This window comes from Homo sapiens, chromosome 5, assembly GCF_000001405.40.
Source record: "Homo sapiens chromosome 5, GRCh38.p14 Primary Assembly".
Lineage (NCBI taxonomy): Eukaryota > Metazoa > Chordata > Mammalia > Primates > Hominidae > Homo > Homo sapiens.
Window position 1 is genome coordinate 174,325,953 of NC_000005.10, and position 18,278 is coordinate 174,344,230.

Consider the following 18,278-nt stretch of genomic DNA (forward strand, 5'->3'; position numbering starts at 1 on the left):
AGCAGAAGGGCTGGGGGCTGGCTTCCTAGGTGATGGTGCCAGCTGCCTGGGTGCATATCCCTGTTCTGCCACCTGCTACTCTGTGAACCTCAACAGGTTGCTTATCTTCTCTGGGCTTCACTTTCCTCATCTGTAAAATGGGATAATGGTGAGGGTTAAATGCATTAACATACATAGCAAATCCCCTTAGGGCAATGCCTGGCATGAAAAGAGCATGATGTGTTTGTTCTTGACTGACAGTTGTTTTTTCTGTCTTTCCACGCCTCCCCCGCCACCCCTGGCTTGCAGGCAAAGACTATCTGCCACCACGGAGGCTGAAATGCCAGAGATTTATTTTCCTAGCCTCCCTTGGCCCATGTCTAGACAACGAGACCGGAGTGGGGGATCCGCTGGATGGAAACCTCCTTTCTTTCTTGCCTTTAGTCACAGTTTTGTGAGGACATGGTGCTGGGGGCAGGGAACAGGTCACAAGATGTGGGTCTTCTGCCCACCATGGGAAGCCAAGAGAGTCACCGGGAAGCCGACCCAGGCCCTGGCAGTGCCAGTCTGATGAATTAACTGAGCCTGGGTTCAACTGGCTCCTGGCTATGATGTCACAGCGAAAGCTGGGAGGTTGTACCATTTGCCTGAGGCCAGACATCTTGAAAGTGGTGGCATGAGATTTCAATCTGGGTCTCCAGGTCTGGGGACATGGGCCAGATAAATATAGAATACTCATTTGAATTTGGCTTTAAATTTCAATTTATTTTTATTTGCTAAGCCTGGCAATCTTATAGAGTGAGGACCCTGCTTTTCTGTCACACAGCAAAGCTGCCCTCAATCCCCCCAGCATGCCAGCCACCTGCATATCAAGGGACAGAAATGGACCATGTGGTGGGCCGAGAGTGTCTTTCCCCAAGCTAGAGAGGACAGGAAAGTGACAAGCATGTCAGTTCATGCCACAGCTTCACCGGGGGTAAGTTCATTAACTTCGGAACCTCACTCTTCCTCAAGCTGACAAAAATATTAGTACTAAAAAAAATGGCCAGGCACAGTGGCTTATGCTTGTAAACCCAGCACTTTGGGAGGCCAAGGCGGGGGGATCACCTGAGGTCAGGAGTTCGAGACCAGCCTGGCCAAGATGGTGAAACCCCATCTCTACTAAAAATACAAAAATGAGCCGGACATGGTGGCAGGCGCCTGTAATCCCAGCTACTCGGGAGGCTGAGGCAGGTGAATCGCTTGAACCCGGGAGGCAGAGGTTGCAGTGAGCTGAGATGGCGCCGCTGCACTCCAGCCTGGGCGACAGAGCAAGACTCCGTCTCAAAAAAAAAAAAAAAAAACAGAAATGAGATAATATCTGTAAAGTGGTTAGTACAGTAACTGCAGGAAGTGTTCCATAAAAGCGTCTTTCTCTTCCTCCTCTTCTTTGTGATGTCATTATGTGTTATTACTATTATTGTCATCATAACTGTTGTTTTTATTATTAGCCTGCAGCTAAGGCCTCTCCCTTGAAGCGGCTTCTCTCTGCACTGCCAGCAGAGGGCGCCATTATCTGACAAAGAGGCCCAGTGGCCTCCAACCACCTTCAGCCAGGCGGCAGTCACTTAATAATACATCTGGGATCAGGTTTCTCAGCCTGGCTGGGGGCACTGCGGGAGCCTCTGGGCCTCAGGTTATAACTCAGTTTGTCAGGTCTCAGCCCACTGCTGCGCTCCTTACTGGTACAGTCCTGTCCGAGGAGCCTGGGCCTGGATGGCTGTTTGGGGCTTTTTCTCATAATGCCACCGTCTTTGCACCATCTGCTGTTTTCACCTCTTTTCAGGCTACACCCCAGTTTTTTCACAAAAGCCCCCAGGGAGATGGGTAGAGGAGGCTCTGCTTATCTACTGTCCGTGGGCCTGCTGGTTCCCTTCTCCAGGCTAGTTCGGCCTGGCAGTCAGGTGGCACTGAGTTGGAATCCCTGATTCTCTACTCCCCTGCTGTGCCACCCTGGGCATGTGGGGCCACCCCTCTGAACCTCAGTTTCCTTATCTGTAAAAATGGGACGGCTTCACCTGAGTTGGAGGAACCGGGGTAAGCGAATGTGCTGCTCACACCCTGGGGGCTCAGTCAGTCAGTGAGACATGTCTCAGTTCCTTTCCCAGAGTCAGAGACCCGTCCATTACGGTTTCTGCAGGGAAGGCTGGAGGGGGCCCGGTCACACCTGGGGACAGGCTGCTGGTGACGGGCTGCTAGTGACAATAATAACACATTAACCAGTCACCGTTTCCAAAGAAATGGTCACATTAACTGTTGCTTTATCCTTACAAGAATAACTCTGTGTACTGAGATGGAATTTTATACCCGTTGTACAGCAAAAGCGCCGAGTTGGGATGAGAGCATCTCTTCAAATGAAGGGTGAATGCCTTTCAAAGCCACAGGCTTCTGCTCACCGATCTCCCCTCTGGCCCATCAGCGTAGGTAGCTGTTGGCCAGCTAGTAGTTTCTGGGTGTCGGGAGCGTCGCGTGGCTTTTTCCAGACATCCGTCCATTCAATCCTCACAGCTTATGGGGCTTATGGGGTCCAGATGATTTCTATTTCTATTTTCCAGATGAGGAAACTGAGGCTGAAGGGAGTCAAGAAACCAGTTAAGAAGCTGGGGTGGGAATCCAGTCTCCTGCTCTTGGGCGCCAGACCATGAGAAGCAGGTGACTGAGAGGAGTGGGAAGCCGTGCTCCTCAGGAGACAGGAGTCTAACCGGACCCTCCACGTGATGCTCTGAGCTTCCGCCTCCCCAATTGCAAAGGAGAACTATTTTTCCTGCCAACTTCATAGGATTATTCGGAAGCTCATTTGAGAGACTGTGTAGAAAATTGTTTCCTAAACCAAATTGGAAGGCAGGAACTCTAGCTTGAGCCCACTCAGGAATTTGGGCAAGCCTGGGCCTGTTTGGGATATGTCTGGGCAGGTCCTCCAAGAGTCGACTTAGTGAGATTTTTTGTTGTCTTTGATTGAAGGAGGATGCAGAAGTGGTTTTGCACACTGAGTCTAAGGAAGGTGGGGGACAGGATCCCCTGGGTCTGTCTTGCACAGCGTCCTGCCGGCTCAGCCCTGTGGGCCTGTGGATGGCAAGGAGGTCCAGGGGATCCCTGGGGTGACAGCACTCCCAGAACGTGTTTGGAACCAGGGCACAAAGTGACTTAGTGACAGTGTGCCTCATGAGGTGGCTGGAGCAGGCAAGGGGACTGTCGGGAGAGCTCCTGCGAGGAGACCCTCCTCTGGGGCTCCTAAAGATATGCGTGTACCTGGAGGGGGCAGGGGCAGGGTATGGGGCCTGTGCAGGTGGAGGCACAGCTGAAACAAAAGGCGGTTACTGCTATCAAGCCGATGCCACGGTCAGGTCTGGAGAAAGCCGAGGATCCCCTTCAAAGGGCCACGGCAATGTCTGGGCTTGCTTTTCATTCCCAGGAGTAAATGCAGAAAGAGGGGGTCATTTTCTGACTGAATTTGTAGAGACTGAGTATGAATGAGGGGAACGGCTTTGCCCCTGTTGCAGGGGAAAATCAGAGTGTTAGATCTGTAGTTGCTGTGTTTGTAGTTCTGTATTCAAAGCTCAGCCCCACCTGTGCACACAAGGGGAATCTCGATTTTCGGAGCCTCTGCTTCTCTCACCTGCAAAATAGAGGTCAAAGGGCCCCAGTCCCAGCTTGTTGGGCTACTTCATGAGACACTGCATGGATGTGCCCGACACAGCAGGTGGTACTTGCTCATCTTGTCTTATTTCACCTTGCTTCCTTCCCTTCCCGCACCCCTTCCCTTCCCTTCCCTCTTTATTCATTCAAAATAACCTGTAACGCCCGATGTGGTCATTTTGGCTGTGCTGATAGCCAGAGTAGACTTACTCTTTGTTAAGCCAATTCACAGTCATTGTGACAGTTAGAAGCAAATGTGCATTCAAGAAATAATCATCTCAGTGCATCTGGTAGGCACAGTTTCAATGCAGCTGGTCTGTTAGACAGGCCAGGAACCTCTCTGGACCCATCTGGTTTTCATTAGCTCCCCCATGAAACCAGATTTTTGCTCCATTTAGTTACCATCACTGACCACAGCAACTTGCTCTTCCCGGGCTAGAGCTTTTGCATCCCTCTTTCCTGAAGAGGCCAGCTGAAGATCGGAACTTAAGAGAAGTCAGAGGCTCCTGCTGAAAAAGGCCACCGTGTGGTGTGTGTTTGCTGGTGGGAGATTAGGAGGATGGTGCACAGAACCATCAATGAGGAATCCACGGGGGAAGATGGTGCAAGGTAGGAAGAGCTAGGCTTCCACGCTTGCCAAAAATGACATCCGCCGCTGCCAAAGGACAAGAGGAAGATGGGGTTCCCTGCGAAATCCCTTTCCTTTCCAAGAAGGCAATAAAATCCTGTAGTGGTTCATTTTAACCATCAGGAGCCTCTGCCACATAATGACATCCATGTCTGCATAAGGATAAGATACGGTGGGTCCCAGGGATTGAGGGGATGGTGTTCATTTCAAAATCTTGCTTCTTCTTGTTCTGATACCATGTGTACAATACAGAAAACCAATCATAGTGTAGTGAAGGAAGTCACATTTTGTCAAGGTCTATTTGCTATTCCTTCTTTCTCTCCAGCCAATGAACAAGCTATTTTAGAAGTACAGCTGATGATCTAGAAATAAGAAGAAAGAGGACGGAAGGTGGTGAGTAACTTAGGGCTATACCTCTGGCCATTCAGAGAGTGAATCTGAGGATGGCCTGAGAGGTGGCAGTTCAGGAGGAGGCAGGAGAAGGGGTCCCCATTGATGATGAGGCAGTCCTGAACTGGGCAGCAAGCCAGGGCTTCCCTATCCTCACCTCATTCCTCCCTCAGAACAGCTCTTGAGGCACACCGCAGCATGGGGTGGTAGCTGAGCACCCTGATGTTTAGAGCCAGTGGGACCTGGGTTTCAATCCCAGCATCACCATTTACTAGCTGTCAGATGTTAGGCAAGCTTTTTAAACTTTTCCAAGCCTCAGTTCTCTCATCTGCAAAGTGGATAATGTTCATTACTTCTTGGGTCTGTTATGATATTATGTAAGCAAACAGCTACAGGGAGTGTCCAGTACTGGGGAGTCATCATTGTGATCATTTATAGTAGGAGAATTCGGAGTTGGTGAGGGGAAGCCTTTTCTGTTACTCCCTGCCCACTCCACCTGTCCTTCTTTCCAACCAGTCACCAAATCCTATTAAGACTTCCTTGAGACCAGGCGTGGTGGCTCATGCCTGTAATCCCAGCACTTTGGGAGGCTGAGGCAGGAGGATCACTTAAATCCAGGAGCTTAAGACCAACCTGGGCAACACAGAGAGACCCAGACTCTACAAAAAGAAGAGTAAGAAGAAGAAGGAGGAGAAGGAGAAATGTTGAGCATGGTGGAGAAGGAGTGTTGAGCATGGTGGCAAGTGCCTGTGGTCCCGGCTACTTGGGAGGCTGAGTCAGGAGGGGGCCTGGGAGGTTGAGGCTTCAGTGAGCCATGATTGCACCACTGCGTTCCAGCCTGGGCAATGGAATGAGATGGTCTCAAAAAAAAAAAAAAAGAGACTTATTTGAAAATATCTTCCAAATCCATCCCCTCCTTTCCATCCACTCTCCCACCCGCCTGGGTTCGTTCACACGGATGCCACCTGGAGTTATCAGTGACCCCGACTGGTCTCCTTTCCCCAGTCCCTTCTTGTCTACCCCTGTGGCAGAAGGTCTGCCACAGAGATCTGACCACATCCCTCCACTTAAATTCATCTCGTGGTCTTTGTCACCTTCCAGACAAGGCCATAGTGCCTTAGCAGGAGAATTGTGCTTAGCAGAAATCATTCCATTGAAACTGACAGAAATCCCAGTCAAACTGGCTTTAAAAAGTACTCGAAAGGGGTTGGAGGTTCTCTAAGAAGCATATGCCAAGATGGAATTAGACACACAGGAGATTTACTAGGGGGTTCACTGGTGAAGGATTGCCGCCAGGCAGCTGGAGGAGGCAGGAAGGCAGGATAACTCAGGGCTGACCCTGTGGAAGGGAGAGGGGAGGAAGGAGCCTTGGGTAGGAGCCTCAGACTGCCACGCAATTTCCAAAAATTTTTGGCCAGGCCAATGGGGAGTCCTGGAGTTTAAGTCACCAGGTGGAGGGGACCCACAGGAATGGGACAGTACTAGTTCCCCCAGGGGTCGGGCATTGGCTGGGAGCAGCCGAGGGTTGCTGTGAGGAGCACGGCCTGGGGCAAATGCAGGGGAGCATGCAGCTGGGCTGTCAGTCAACCATGGTCCCACGGCAGCAGGTATGAGTGGCACATTTTCATGGCTGCCACAGGGAAAGACTTGTAGGCTTGCATAAACAAAAAGCCCAGAATTAGAGTTGCTTCAGGCATGGCTAAGCCCAGGTTTTCAGATGACATCTCCACAATATTCCTCACAACATCTCCACAATATTCCTCACAATATGGCTCTGCTTTCTTTGATATGGACTCCATTCTTGCAAAGGCTCTCTCCATGTGGAGGTAAGATGCCATCACCAGCTCTGGAGGCACCTCTTCCCAGGTTAAAATCCAGCAGAAGGCCAGGCGTGGTGGCTCACGCCTGTAATCCCAGCACTCTGGGAGGCCGAGGCGGGCGGATCACAAGGTCAGGAGATCGAGACCATCCTGGCTAACACGGTGAAATGCCGTCTCTACTAAAAATACAAAAAATTAGCTGGACGTGGTGGTGGCAGGCGCCTGCAGTCCCAGCTACTAGGGAGGCTGAGGCAGGAGAATGGCATGAACCTGGGAGGCGGAGCTTGCAGTGAGCCAAGATTGCACCACTGCACTCCAGCCTGCACAGCAGAGCGAGACTCCGTCTAGGGAAAAAAAAAAAAATCCAGCAGAAAAGAGCCCTCCTCCTTCTTTCCTAATCTTTAGAGCAAATGTCCCAGGAATAGCTCTGATTGGCTCAGACTGGGTCATGTGCCCATCTCTGAACCAATCCCTGTGGCCAGGATGATGCCATGCTCTGATCGGCTAGTCCTGAGTTAACTGCCCACTCCTGGAGCAGGAGGAGGATCAGCTTTACCTCCCACATGACCCCCCATCACCACGTGGTCTGAGTGGGTACCCCAAGCAACCCTGGGAAAAAACGGGCTGACCAGGCTGGATCCTCTGATAACAGGAGAAAGGGAAATGGATACGAGTGAGGACAGCAGATGTCTCCTCTCCATAAATCATTATTTTAGTTTTTAAATTGTGGTAAGAACACTTCATGAGATCCACTCTCTTAATAGATTTTTAAGTGCTCAATACAGTATTGTTAAGTACAGACACGATGTTGTGCGATGCATTCTTATTCACCTTGCATGACCAAAACTTTGTACCCATTGAACACATACTCACCATTTCTCTGTCCCACTGCAGCCCCTGGCCATCAGCATTCTACTCTGTGCTTCTGTGAGTTTGGCTATTTTTTATTCCTCCTGTAAGTGTAATCCTGCAGCATCTGTCCCTCTGTGCCTGGCTTATTTCACCCAGCATAACGTCATCCGGGATCATCCATGTTGTCACATGTTGCAGGGTTTCCTTCCTTTTAAAGGCCGAATGATAGCCCATTGTTTGTGTATGTCACATTTTCTTTATCCATTCATCTGTCGATGGACATTTAGGCTGTTCCTACATCTTGGCTATTTGTCAATAGTGCAGATATCTCTTCAAGATCCTGATTTCATTTCCTTTAGATAAACACCAAGAAGTGGAATTGCTGAACCATATAGTAGTTCTATTTTTAGATGTTTTAGGAACCTCCATGCTGTTTTCCATAGTGGCTGTACCATTCTACATTCCTACAAACAGCGGACCAATTTCTCCACATCCTTACCAACACTTATATCTTATTTCTTTGATAACAGTCATTGTGACAGGTGTGAGGTGATATCTCATTGTGGTTCTGGGTTTTAGAAATGTTGAGCACTTTTTCTTATACCTGCTGGCCACATGTATGTCTTCTTTGGAGAAACTTCTATTCAGGTCATAGATCACCCTTTACGTTTTCTCCTGAGGCATATCCCACAGGCTTTCAGTTATCTCTTAATGAACAATAAACCACCCCAACACTTAGTGGCTTGAAACCCAGTGGTTTATTATTTCCCATGAGTCCTTGGGTTTCCTGGGCAGTCCCTCTGCTGGTCTGGCCTCCGGTTGCTCTGAGATGATTCAGCAGGCCCCTGAGCTGGGCTGGAGGGTCCAAGAAGGCTTCTCTCTCACGCTTCATTCTAGGGGGTGGAGGGTTACCTTCTGCCCTTTCTGCATGCTCGCTCATCATTCAGTAGTTAGCCTGAGCAGCTTTACTTCCAGGATGCTGCTTCCCAGAGCACAGAGGCTGAGGCTGGCACCCCAGCCTCATCAGTGCATTAGTCAAAGCATGTCACAAGGACAGCCCAGAGTCAAAACGGAGAGGGAAGCAGTCTCTATCTCGAAGAAAAGATCAGTAAAGAATTTGTGACCATCTTTAATCCACGAAAGTGGAAATGAGATTAAAAGGTGGGTCTGAATTTGGCCCGGCAACTGCAGGGCTGGAGAGCTTTACTCTGCCACTTCCCTCACCAGGGCCACAGCCCTATTCCTGTTTCAGCCTCTTTCTTTGGAGATTTAGGAAGCAACTGTAATACCTGGCAGGGGCAGGATACTGATTCTGGGTCCAGTGGACAAACCACAGTGGCAGCTCACACCAGACGGTAAGCTCTTGAGGAGTACCCTGAGTATGTTTCGTCCCAGGGCTGGGCCCAAGACACCGTAAGGTCGGCAAATAGCAAAGGCTTTGGAACGGGCAGACCCAGATCTCCATCCTGCCTCTGCTGCATGTATGGATAAAAGCTCCACAGCAACAAGGCCCAGCCTGTCCCAGTCATAGCTATATCCCAGCACCCAGAACCATGCCTGGCGCATAGTAGTTGCCTAATAAATGTTTGCTGGATGAGTGAGTGAACCTCTCTGGGCCTTATTTTCTTCATCGGAAAAATAGTGATAACAATGGTAATAGTAACAACTACTGCAGTCAGGATGATCATGTCAAGCTCCAACTCCTCGATCTGGCCTGCGATGCCCTGCATGCTGCTCTCAGTGTATTCATACCTCTTCAGCTGCATTTCACACGGAGGCCCACGGCTCTCTGCACTCCAGCCACCTAAGCCCTGCTCCAGTTTCTCAAACTCATCAGCCCCTTATCTCAGGGCCTTTGCAAGTGCTAGATGCACTTCCTTCCCTTACTTCACCTAGTTCATCAAATAGCTTTTTAAATTTTTTTTGGAGACAGAGTCTCTCTGTTGCCTGGGCTAGAGTGCAGTGGCGCGGTCTTGGCTCACTGCTACCTCTGCCTCCCTGGTTCAAGTGATTCTTGTGCCTCAGCCTCCTGAGTAGCTGCAATTACAGGTGCATGCCACCATACCCAGCTATTTTTGTATTTTTAGTAGAGACGGACTTCACCACGTTGGCCAGGCTGGTCTCGAACTCCTGACCTCAAGTGATCTGCCCGCCTCGGCCTCCCAAAGTACTGGGATTACAGGCGTGAGCCATCGTACCCCAGTTCCTCAAATATCTTACCCGCATTAGCACTTCTTTGGAGAAGCTTCCTCAGATCTCTAGACCAGACTAAATCCTCCTGTCTTAAGCTTTTAGAGTGCTGTGCGCCTTTTCTTTCCAGCTCTTCTCAGAAGTGGTAGCTACAGATTTGTTGATTTACTTTTAGTCTAATGCCAGTGTTCTCCAGCCTTTTGTCAGCTCTGCAAGATACAGATGTGGTTTATTTGCTCCAACATGTAAATGCAGAACTTAGCCCAGTACCTGGCATGGGGTAGGTGCATGATGCACGCTGGGACTACACAGACAAATGGATGGTTGCCTGGCATGGCTCACTGAGGACACTCAACAGGTACCAGCACCATTTATTTAAGCGGATCAACTAACGAATGAGTTAGAGAGTGGCTGGAATGGATGTATAGCACTAATTTGTGAGAGAAGACAGAATGAGAATGTAATTCCAAAACAATGAGCAAACATCAGAAGAATTGAAGCAAATAACTGCAACATTTCCCCAGTTGTCCCTCTCATTGTTCTTAAAATAAAAGCATTTCTGCTACGGAGTCAGGCAAATAAGTGAAAAAGCCACATAAAGGAAGAGCAGTGACTCTCGAGAGCTGGCATCCCAGGGTGACTTCACCATGGGCTGTCATCGCTGAGGCCATAAAAAGCCAAAAGCACTACCCTTGAGTCATCCTAGCCCCTTGGAGCCAAAAACGTAGCAACGTCACGTCTGTAGTTGACCTCGGTTCCGGGCACCTTCCTGAGCATTCTTCGGGAGGCACTTGTGAAACTCAGCCCAGGTGCTGCCCAGGATCAGGAGGCTGAGACGTGATCTGGAAGTGAGTGCCCATCCATACACCTTCCCCAGCTTTGGGGCCACAGAGGGACAGAAACCGCAGGCAGGCTGGCCTGGGAATGAACCTACACCAGCCTGAAGTCAGAAGAGCCTCTAGGAGCCTCCAGCCTGGACTCTTTTTACAGATGGGGAAACTGAGTCCCAGAGAGGGAGCAATGAAGGATGTCTAAGGTCATCAGCAACGTAAAGCCAACAGCATCATCCTGAGTCATGTTTGAACCTGAGGTAAGAGAAGAGGTCAGCAAATCTGACCCTGTCTGTATTTTAAAATTTGGTATTTTGTTCAGAGTGGGGTTTTGTGTTCGTTTTGATGTTGGAAGATATCAGGTTAAAATATGATTCATTTTGATAACGGAGTTTTTCAGATACCTCTTTCAGTTCTGCTTCCAAGGCTAGTCCTGGCCCTGAGAGCCAGGGCACTGTGTTGGATGCGTATTCCCTTGTTGGCACATGTACTGTCATTCCCCAGACAGGCAGAGCACCCTTCTGGGAAGAACTGGCTGTGTGTTCGGGCTGACCCAGGTTTTAACCCCACTTCCAGCATCCCCATCCTAGTGACTGAACTTCTATGAGCAAGAATTTTCTCTTCTGAAAGTTTCCCAGTCCCTCATTTATCTAACCAGTTCTTTTCAGGGTTCTACCATGTACCAGGCACAGTGTGTGTGGCATGACTGTGACCCATCAATGCCCTAAGCAGCTCACAGTCAGTGAGGAAGACCCCCGGTGTCAGACCCCTGCAGCCTCACGTGGAAGGGGCGCCGGGAATGCCACAGGATGCTGGGGACAAGGCAGGGGGCTCCCCCAAGACTTCTCAGAGAGATCCTTCAAAGGCGAGAGCCTCCCCAGGGGGAGTCCGCTGGGAAATCAGCAAAGGAGGGGGCTCCAGGCAGAAGAAACAGCGTCTGCCAAGGCCTAGAGGCAAGAAAGCTAGGCTTGTTTGCAGACATCCCAAGTAGATTTGCGCCAAGTGTAAAGGAAGATGTGGCAGAGAGAACTTGGGGGCTCCACTGTGTGTGGCCCTGGGCCATGCTAGGGGGTTGGGTAATAACATCTCCTGTAGATACCAGCTGCAGGGGGCAGGAGGACCCATGGAAAGCACCGGGGGCTGAGCCTGAGGCGAGTATAGAGGCCTGAGTCAATATTACCCTCCCCTGTCTCTCCTCTTGAGATAAGCCAATAGGTGTTTGATGTTCAGTGTTCAGAAAGCCAGCCTGACTGCTCTCAGATGATTAAGCAAGAGGCTATAGTCGGTGGGGTGGCAGGGGGTTGGGGGGGAACAGGCCTCCCCCCTTCTGTTTCCAGAAATCTGACCTCTGCCTCGGCCACATTCCCCGACTCCTGGGTGTGAGATAAGGCCGCTGTCTCCTGTTCCCTTCTCTTCTGTCTGGCCTGGCTGAGCTGGCGTGTATGGTCTTAGTTTTCTATATTTATAGAGACAAGGATGGGGGAACCATGGTAGGGGGCAGGGGGTTGGGGGCGGCTGGCCCAGAGCTTCAGGGCCTGTGGAAGCTGCCTGGCCGCAGGGGGTATTTAACTTTCTGCCCGATGGTTGTAATTCTGGGGGCAGCCGAACTGGTGGGATCAGGTCCCTCTGGCTGCGATGACAGGCCTTCAGCAGGCACTGTAATTGCAGCGTTAAAACCCCTCATTTTCTTCCCGGCAAGCTGTAGTTAAGAGGTGCTATCGGGCAGCCGGGTTGTCTGCAGGGAGGCTGATCAAAGGGCTGAAGGCATCTGTTTTGTCTCTGTTTTCTTTCACCACTCCCCGCCAACTTTGAAAAAAAAATGGTTAAAAAGTAATTTATGAAAATGAATACCTGTCCTTCTCCAGAGGCTAAAAGGCGGCTGCATATTAGAGATATTAGATGATGTGCATTGGGTTTTTGCTACACTCCTTCGGTCAGTTTCAGAATGAGAAAATTGGAGCTGGAGAATGTGCCCACCGTGTCCGCTTCCATTAAAACCTCTCAGCAGGGTTTTTATAATATCGGCCCGACTTTTCACACTCTGAGGATTTCCTGAAGAAGATTAAACTCTCCCACCTCCAGCCAGCGATTGGCAATTATGCCTTGGCCATGCCCACACCCCTGCGGGCCTCCCAACCCACACTCCTCTCCCTGTTCTCCAGAAGCCCAGGGCGGGCGTTGCCTGCTGTGAGGTTGTCCAGGACTCAGCCTCTCCCTGCTCTCAGTGCCCTGAGGCCTTGGAACTTTCTTATCAACTGACTGCACAAGGAAAGGTTTCCAATTTTTAAATAGTGCCCTTCATATCTGGTTTGAAAACTGAAAGAGAATAAATGCCTTTAGAGATGAGAATGAAAAATCCCTAGCAAAGGAAAAAAATGGCTTAGGACTGCCTGGAGATGGAGCACGTTTAAGGAAAGCCTCAAGAGAACAGGTTGATTTAAAGCAAACAAACAAAAACAACAACAACCCCTGTGCCATCTCTAAGCTGTGTTGCAGTGGGGAGGAGCTTCACCAGCCAGACTCCACACTGGAGGTTCGTGGCTTCAGTTTGAAACCTGAGCCCATTTCTCTGCTCACACAGTGTGCACATTACAGCATCAGTATCCTGTTCCAGGAGCCTGGAAATCAAAGAGGTGCTGGTTGGGGCACCATGTTCGAAGGGCTCAAAATGTAGCCTTAGAAGTCCCCTGTCTTGCATTTCTTTCTTATTCCCCTGTGCCAAGATTTTGCGAAACCTTTCATAGATGCCCAATAAGGACCAGCTGCTCCCTGGGGAATTTCCAGCCTGGCCACCCTTAAGAGTTAATTCTCCGCCCTATCTGCCATTCCCCCTGTCTTCTCTTGGTTTCTGAATCCCTTTGGGAACTCAGAATAAAATAAGCTCTGTGCATGTGTACAGACAATTTATCATTCTCATAGTATTTTCACAGCCTTCATTGCAATAGAGTCCCCACCATGATCCTTTGAGACAGGCATTGCTATTCCCATTTCACAGATGGGGATAATCGAGGCTCTGAGGGAGAAAGGTGCCTGTAAGATCACACAGCTGCTAAGTGCAGCACCAGTGTCTGGATGACTCTGGAACAGGTTTCCTCACCACAGCGAGCTTCGTGGGAATTTGCCAATGGAACACCCCAGGCCTTGGCACCCGGCAGACCCTCATTGGAAACAGACTCTGACCTTGGGCATGTCACTTCCCTGCTCATCTCAGGGTTTCAAGGTTTGGAAAAACAGCCTAGAGCCTGTCTGACTGAAGGCACTCCATAAACATTACCACCCTTCTTCTGATGAAGTTTGGCTCAAGGGGCATCTTGGGTTTTCCAGGCCCTGGTTAGGTCTGATGAAGGTAGAAGACATTGCTCAGGCCATGGGCATGCAGATACCAAGCTCTGATCTCTTCATGACTTCATCCCTACCCACTCCCAGCAGGCTCACCTACTCAGGAGCATATCCTGGCTGCCTGTTTGTATGGCCATCTGAACACGCTTTTTGCTTCTCAGACATTCCTGAGGAAAGAGAGACCGTACCATCCCATGATTTAGGTGATTTCATGACATATGCCAGGATGCCACTCCATGTGGAATGGGTGAGCTGATTGAAGTATTTTCTTCAAATGGGTCTAATTCTCTTCCAGAATGAACTCCTTGGCATGTCAGCTTTCCATTCATTAGACTCTGGGTCTCCGCCTAAGAAAACTGAGCTGGATTGCATGGAGCAACCTCTCAGCCTGACACACAACCTCAGCAAGGGTGGATTTGGGCCCCCCGTCCCCCATCCACATTCCCTCTTGGTATCTGTCCAGTTAGATTTTCAAGAGTGCTTTCCAGGCACAGGCCAGTCTCAGCTGTAATGGGAAGACACAGAACACCTACTGTGTGTCTAGCACTTCACTAAGGACTTTGCAAAGTAATTATTACATAATGATTTACAAGGTGTATTTAGTGCTTACCATGTATCCGACTTTGAGCCAAATACTTTGCATACACCATTTCTTACTTAAGCTTCATAATCACCCTTGAGAGATGTGCTGTTATTTTCCACAGTGTTTTAGATGAGGAAATAGAGGGTAGAACAACTTTCCCAGGACCACAGTGAACAAGCAATGGTGCCAGCACACAAACCGAGGTCTGTGTGATTCAAAAGCCTGGTATGCAAACCTATTTTATAATATCGTCTAATGTGATCTTCATAACATCCCATGAGGATGAGATTAGTAACTCCATTTTATAAATGAGAAGATTAAGGTACCCGAAATAGCATGTAACTCGGGCACTTCTTCTGAGGTCATATGGCTGGTAAGTGGTAAAGGTGGGATTGGAACTCATGAAGCCTAACGAGAAAGGGGCATATCCAAGGACTAGGCACTAAAGCTTCACCAGATCCTCCAACATCCTGTTCCCTTGAGGCTAAGTGCATTTCCTTGGCATGACCAAGCTCCTATTTAATCTCTCAAGACCAAGTTCAAATGTTCCTTCCTTGGGAAATACTTCCCTAGTGACTTCAGGCATCTTCCTTGATGCATTAAGGTACCGAAGACTATTCCCAGTTGTCACTTTTTATTTGTATATGTCTCTCTCACTAAACAGTAGCTCCTTAGCAATGGGATACAAATCTTATTTGTCTGCATGTCTTTAAACTTAGCATGGAGTAGACACCTAAGTAGTTACCGAAGGTAGAAATTAGGTGATTTCTTTCAGCTTCCTTGGGTCTTAGAATGCATTCCTTAATACATTATATCCATATATATTCAAGGTATAGATAGATCAGTGTTTCCCAATTGGGAGTGCACAATAGAATCACCTATGGAATTTTTAAAAATATGGATTCCAAGGTTCTACCTGAAGCCTAGCAAGTCATATACTGTCATGGCTAATCCATGTCTGTCCAAGACCCAGTCACCCACCCTCTTGGATAAACAGCGCCCTCCACCACCAACACAGAGGCAGGAGTGTCTCAAAGCTTCACCAGTCAGAGTTCTTCCTTGAATTTTTTGTTGGAATCAGGGGCAAGAGTTTTCTTTGTGTTTCCAGACGTAGAGTTGGAATAATGTGAATCTATGCCTGGCAGCAGCCCTGTTCCCTGACACATGAAGAAGCTTATCTTCCGTGAGAGAAAGAAAAGAGGGAACAGGCTCGGCCATCCCCAAGGCCTGCTTGATTCCTGCCCTTTTGAGGTTTGAGACAAGGAACTCCCTTCAACTTTTTCTTAAGCTACTTTGCGAGGGTTTCCTGTCCCTTGCAAATGTTTGTGTGTGATGTGTGGTGTGTACGTATACATTACGGTGTATGTACAGATTTTAAAAATAATAGCATTAAATGATATTTTATATAAAAAGATAAATAAATAAACATGGAGATGCTGCTTCTACCTTGACCTAATGGCATGATGAGATGCAGTGTAGCTCATGCCCAGGGCCCTGCCTGCCCTTCCTTCTGTGGGCATAGGCCCTTGGGCCAGGAGGTCCTCTGGCCTGACGCCATTAATTCCCATTCCCAAAATGGGTGGAAAGAGTGTGGGGATGATTTTAAGGTTTTCTCAGCCATCAAAGACAGGGAATTGAGGGATGATGGAATCTTACTTTTCCAAAGAGAAAACTGAAGGAACACTTAAGAGCCACCAAAAAAAAAAAAAAAAAAAAAAGTGGATAAATTGAGAAAATCATCTATGAGGTTGGATATATAAGGCCATTTTTTTTTTTTTTTAGACGGAGTCTCGCTCTGTCGCCCAGGCTGGAGTGCAGTGGCACGATCCCGGCTCACTGCAAGCTCTGCCTCCAGGGTTCACGCCATTCTCCTGCCTCAGCCTCCCAAGTAGCTGGGACTACAGGCGCCCGCCACTACGCCCGGCTAATTTTTTGTATTTTTAGTAGAGACGGGGTTTCACCATGTTAGCCAGGATGGTCTCAATCTTCTGACCTTGTGATCCACCTGTCTCGGCCTCCCAAAGTGCTGGGATTACAGGCGTGGGCCACCGCACCCGGCTTATAAGGCCATTTTTTATTGTTATTTATGAGCGTAAAGAATTTCAGGGGTAGGGGGTAAGTCTTCACTATTTCTACTCTTCTCTTAAGTGCTGACCTCATACCCAATAAGATCAACCTCAACAGTGTGTAATAGGTCACTCTTAATATTGTTGGTCTGGCAAAATGAGGTGCTGGTGACTTTTCAGAAAATGTTACAAGCCACCCCTCTGCCCAGCTACCCTCCTTCGGAAGAATCTTCTGTGCCATGTTTCCTCATGACCTTGTATTCTTCCCTTGCTTATTATAAATGAATGCACGTACTTCACTCATTAATCCATTAGCTAAGCACCTGCTCTGTGGAAGGCCCTGTGCTGAGTTATTTGGTAACAATATGGATCAAAAGTGATCCAATATAGATCAATATGGTCAATATGTGACCAAGGAGGTCACAGCCTCTGGTGAGACACAGACAAGGGTGTCTATTTCTATCAGAAATCAACAGGGTATCTTGAGCTATGACAGAGGCCTCTACAATAGGTAGTTCAAGCACAAAAGGAGGGGGCCCATTGGCTTTAGGAGCATGTCAGGAAGGGTCTCAGAGCTGGACAACTTTTATCTAGGCTTTGACGTATGTGTAGGAGTTTACCAAGTAGAGTATCTTAAGGCTGCATTCAAAGATTTACCAACTCAACTTTAAGAATTATGTCTCTGAATGTGTACCTCTCAGTAAAAGGTCTCTTTTTTCTTATACAATTTTTTGAAGAAAGGGAGAGTTTATATCCCTCTTGGAGCTCTGTCTGGAGCCTTCTCCTAACTTGCACAACTGCTTTTTGAGGAAAAAAGAAGCTGGTAAAATATCCTGTGTCTAAAAGCCACAAAAATATACAGAGCAGGATCTAAGTTTGACATAGAAATACATTCTATAAACGCATTCCTAGCTCCACTTCCTCACCCTCCAACTGCCAGTAATTTATTCAGACAGCTTCAGCTGAAACCATTTCTCGCTTGGTATAATATTCTGGAAAGGTGTGTTAGGATTTTCTTCACTCTGCAGGGCTTTGTTCTTTTCTTGCCAAGAAACCATTCTATCCCTCGGCCTCTAACTTCCATGAGCTGCGGTAGATGGGGAATGGACCCAGTCCTCTCTGGCAGGAAAAGCAAATGATTTCTGTGTTTCTAGATGTTTCTTTTCAATTCACTTCTGATGGACGTGTCCAGTGCCGCAGGGGTGATAGAAGGCTTTCACTCGTCCTTTATGTGACCCAGGGAGATGGACCTTCCAGTTCAGCCCCTTTTACAGGTGAGGACAGAAGTGGAAAAGAAAGGACAGAAGAGAGAATGGGAAAGAAAGAGACTTCATGGGCACTTGCTTTGGCAGGTACCTTTCACATAGGAGATTGAATTGCGTCCTCTGAACAACCCAGGAAGGAGGCATTATGGGCCCTATTTTATACCTAAGAAAACTGAGGCTCAGAGAGGAGAAGTAGCCCACCGGAAATCAGCAAGGCCCCTATGTGACCCCAGCTCCCTCTTATCTGGAATGAGACCCTAAGGCTTGAAAAACCTTGGGGTTGAAAAACCCCAAGGCCATCATGTCATGCTACCTCCTGAGACTGTCCTGAGGGCCTGGCCTGTGCCTCTCAGTTGGGAACTAAGAAAGGTGAGATATGGATCCTCCCCGCCCGGACCCTCATATTGGTGAGGAGCAAGAACAAAGGGAGGCATTCCAGGATGGGGACCAGCCCGAATGACAACTGCCGCCTTTGTAAAGCCCTGCCGGACACTCCCAGACACTCACTGCTGAAACATTCAATCCATCCTCCTGACAATCTGGAGATAAGTGCAAATATTATCCTCATTTACAGCCCGAAGCAGAAGATTTGGGCAAAGGCTGTGTGATTCCACAGCACAAGCTCCCAATCACTGAAGACAGTCGTATAGCTTAGCCCTGG

The 18,278-nt window shown here is 48.6% G+C and overlaps 1 long non-coding RNA gene across 1 annotated transcript in view, besides 7 other annotated features; it reads left to right on the forward strand.

The window, feature by feature from the left end:
- Positions 1,334 to 1,835: an enhancer, noted in NCBI's record as "H3K4me1 hESC enhancer chr5:173754289-173754790 (GRCh37/hg19 assembly coordinates)". NCBI's record gives its function as "activates a minimal SCP1, AML or CMV promoter by ChIP-STARR-seq in naive H9 embryonic stem cells {active_cell/tissue: H9 hESC(naive)}" and the evidence as "EXISTENCE:reporter gene assay evidence [ECO:0000049][PMID:30033119]".
- Positions 1,836 to 2,335: an enhancer, noted in NCBI's record as "H3K4me1 hESC enhancer chr5:173754791-173755290 (GRCh37/hg19 assembly coordinates)". NCBI's record gives its function as "activates a minimal SCP1, AML or CMV promoter by ChIP-STARR-seq in naive and primed H9 embryonic stem cells {active_cell/tissue: H9 hESC(naive and primed)}" and the evidence as "EXISTENCE:reporter gene assay evidence [ECO:0000049][PMID:30033119]".
- Positions 2,295 to 3,494: an enhancer, noted in NCBI's record as "MED14-independent group 3 enhancer chr5:173755250-173756449 (GRCh37/hg19 assembly coordinates)". NCBI's record gives its function as "activates an origin of replication core promoter dependent on BRD2, BRD4, P300/CBP and CDK7 cofactors, and independent of MED14, by STARR-seq in HCT116 cells {active_cell/tissue: HCT116}" and the evidence as "EXISTENCE:reporter gene assay evidence [ECO:0000049][PMID:35650434]".
- Positions 2,295 to 3,690: a biological region, named in NCBI's record as "MED14-independent group 3 enhancer GRCh37_chr5:173755250-173756449".
- Positions 2,451 to 3,071: an enhancer, noted in NCBI's record as "H3K27ac-H3K4me1 hESC enhancer chr5:173755406-173756026 (GRCh37/hg19 assembly coordinates)". NCBI's record gives its function as "activates a minimal SCP1, AML or CMV promoter by ChIP-STARR-seq in primed H9 embryonic stem cells {active_cell/tissue: H9 hESC(primed)}" and the evidence as "EXISTENCE:reporter gene assay evidence [ECO:0000049][PMID:30033119]".
- Positions 3,072 to 3,690: an enhancer, noted in NCBI's record as "H3K27ac-H3K4me1 hESC enhancer chr5:173756027-173756645 (GRCh37/hg19 assembly coordinates)". NCBI's record gives its function as "activates a minimal SCP1, AML or CMV promoter by ChIP-STARR-seq in primed H9 embryonic stem cells {active_cell/tissue: H9 hESC(primed)}" and the evidence as "EXISTENCE:reporter gene assay evidence [ECO:0000049][PMID:30033119]".
- Positions 9,810 to 11,009: an enhancer, noted in NCBI's record as "P300/CBP strongly-dependent group 1 enhancer chr5:173762765-173763964 (GRCh37/hg19 assembly coordinates)". NCBI's record gives its function as "activates an origin of replication core promoter dependent on BRD2, BRD4, P300/CBP, MED14 and CDK7 cofactors, with strong dependence on P300/CBP, by STARR-seq in HCT116 cells {active_cell/tissue: HCT116}" and the evidence as "EXISTENCE:reporter gene assay evidence [ECO:0000049][PMID:35650434]".
- The window catches only part of LINC01411 (long intergenic non-protein coding RNA 1411), a 190,786-nt gene continuing 182,909 nt past the window's right edge, over positions 10,402 to 18,278 (forward strand). Inside the window, exon 1 of the long non-coding RNA NR_125806.1 lies at positions 10,402 to 10,624. This is a non-coding gene — a long non-coding RNA (long intergenic non-protein coding RNA 1411). The remainder of the gene's footprint in view (positions 10,625 to 18,278) is intronic.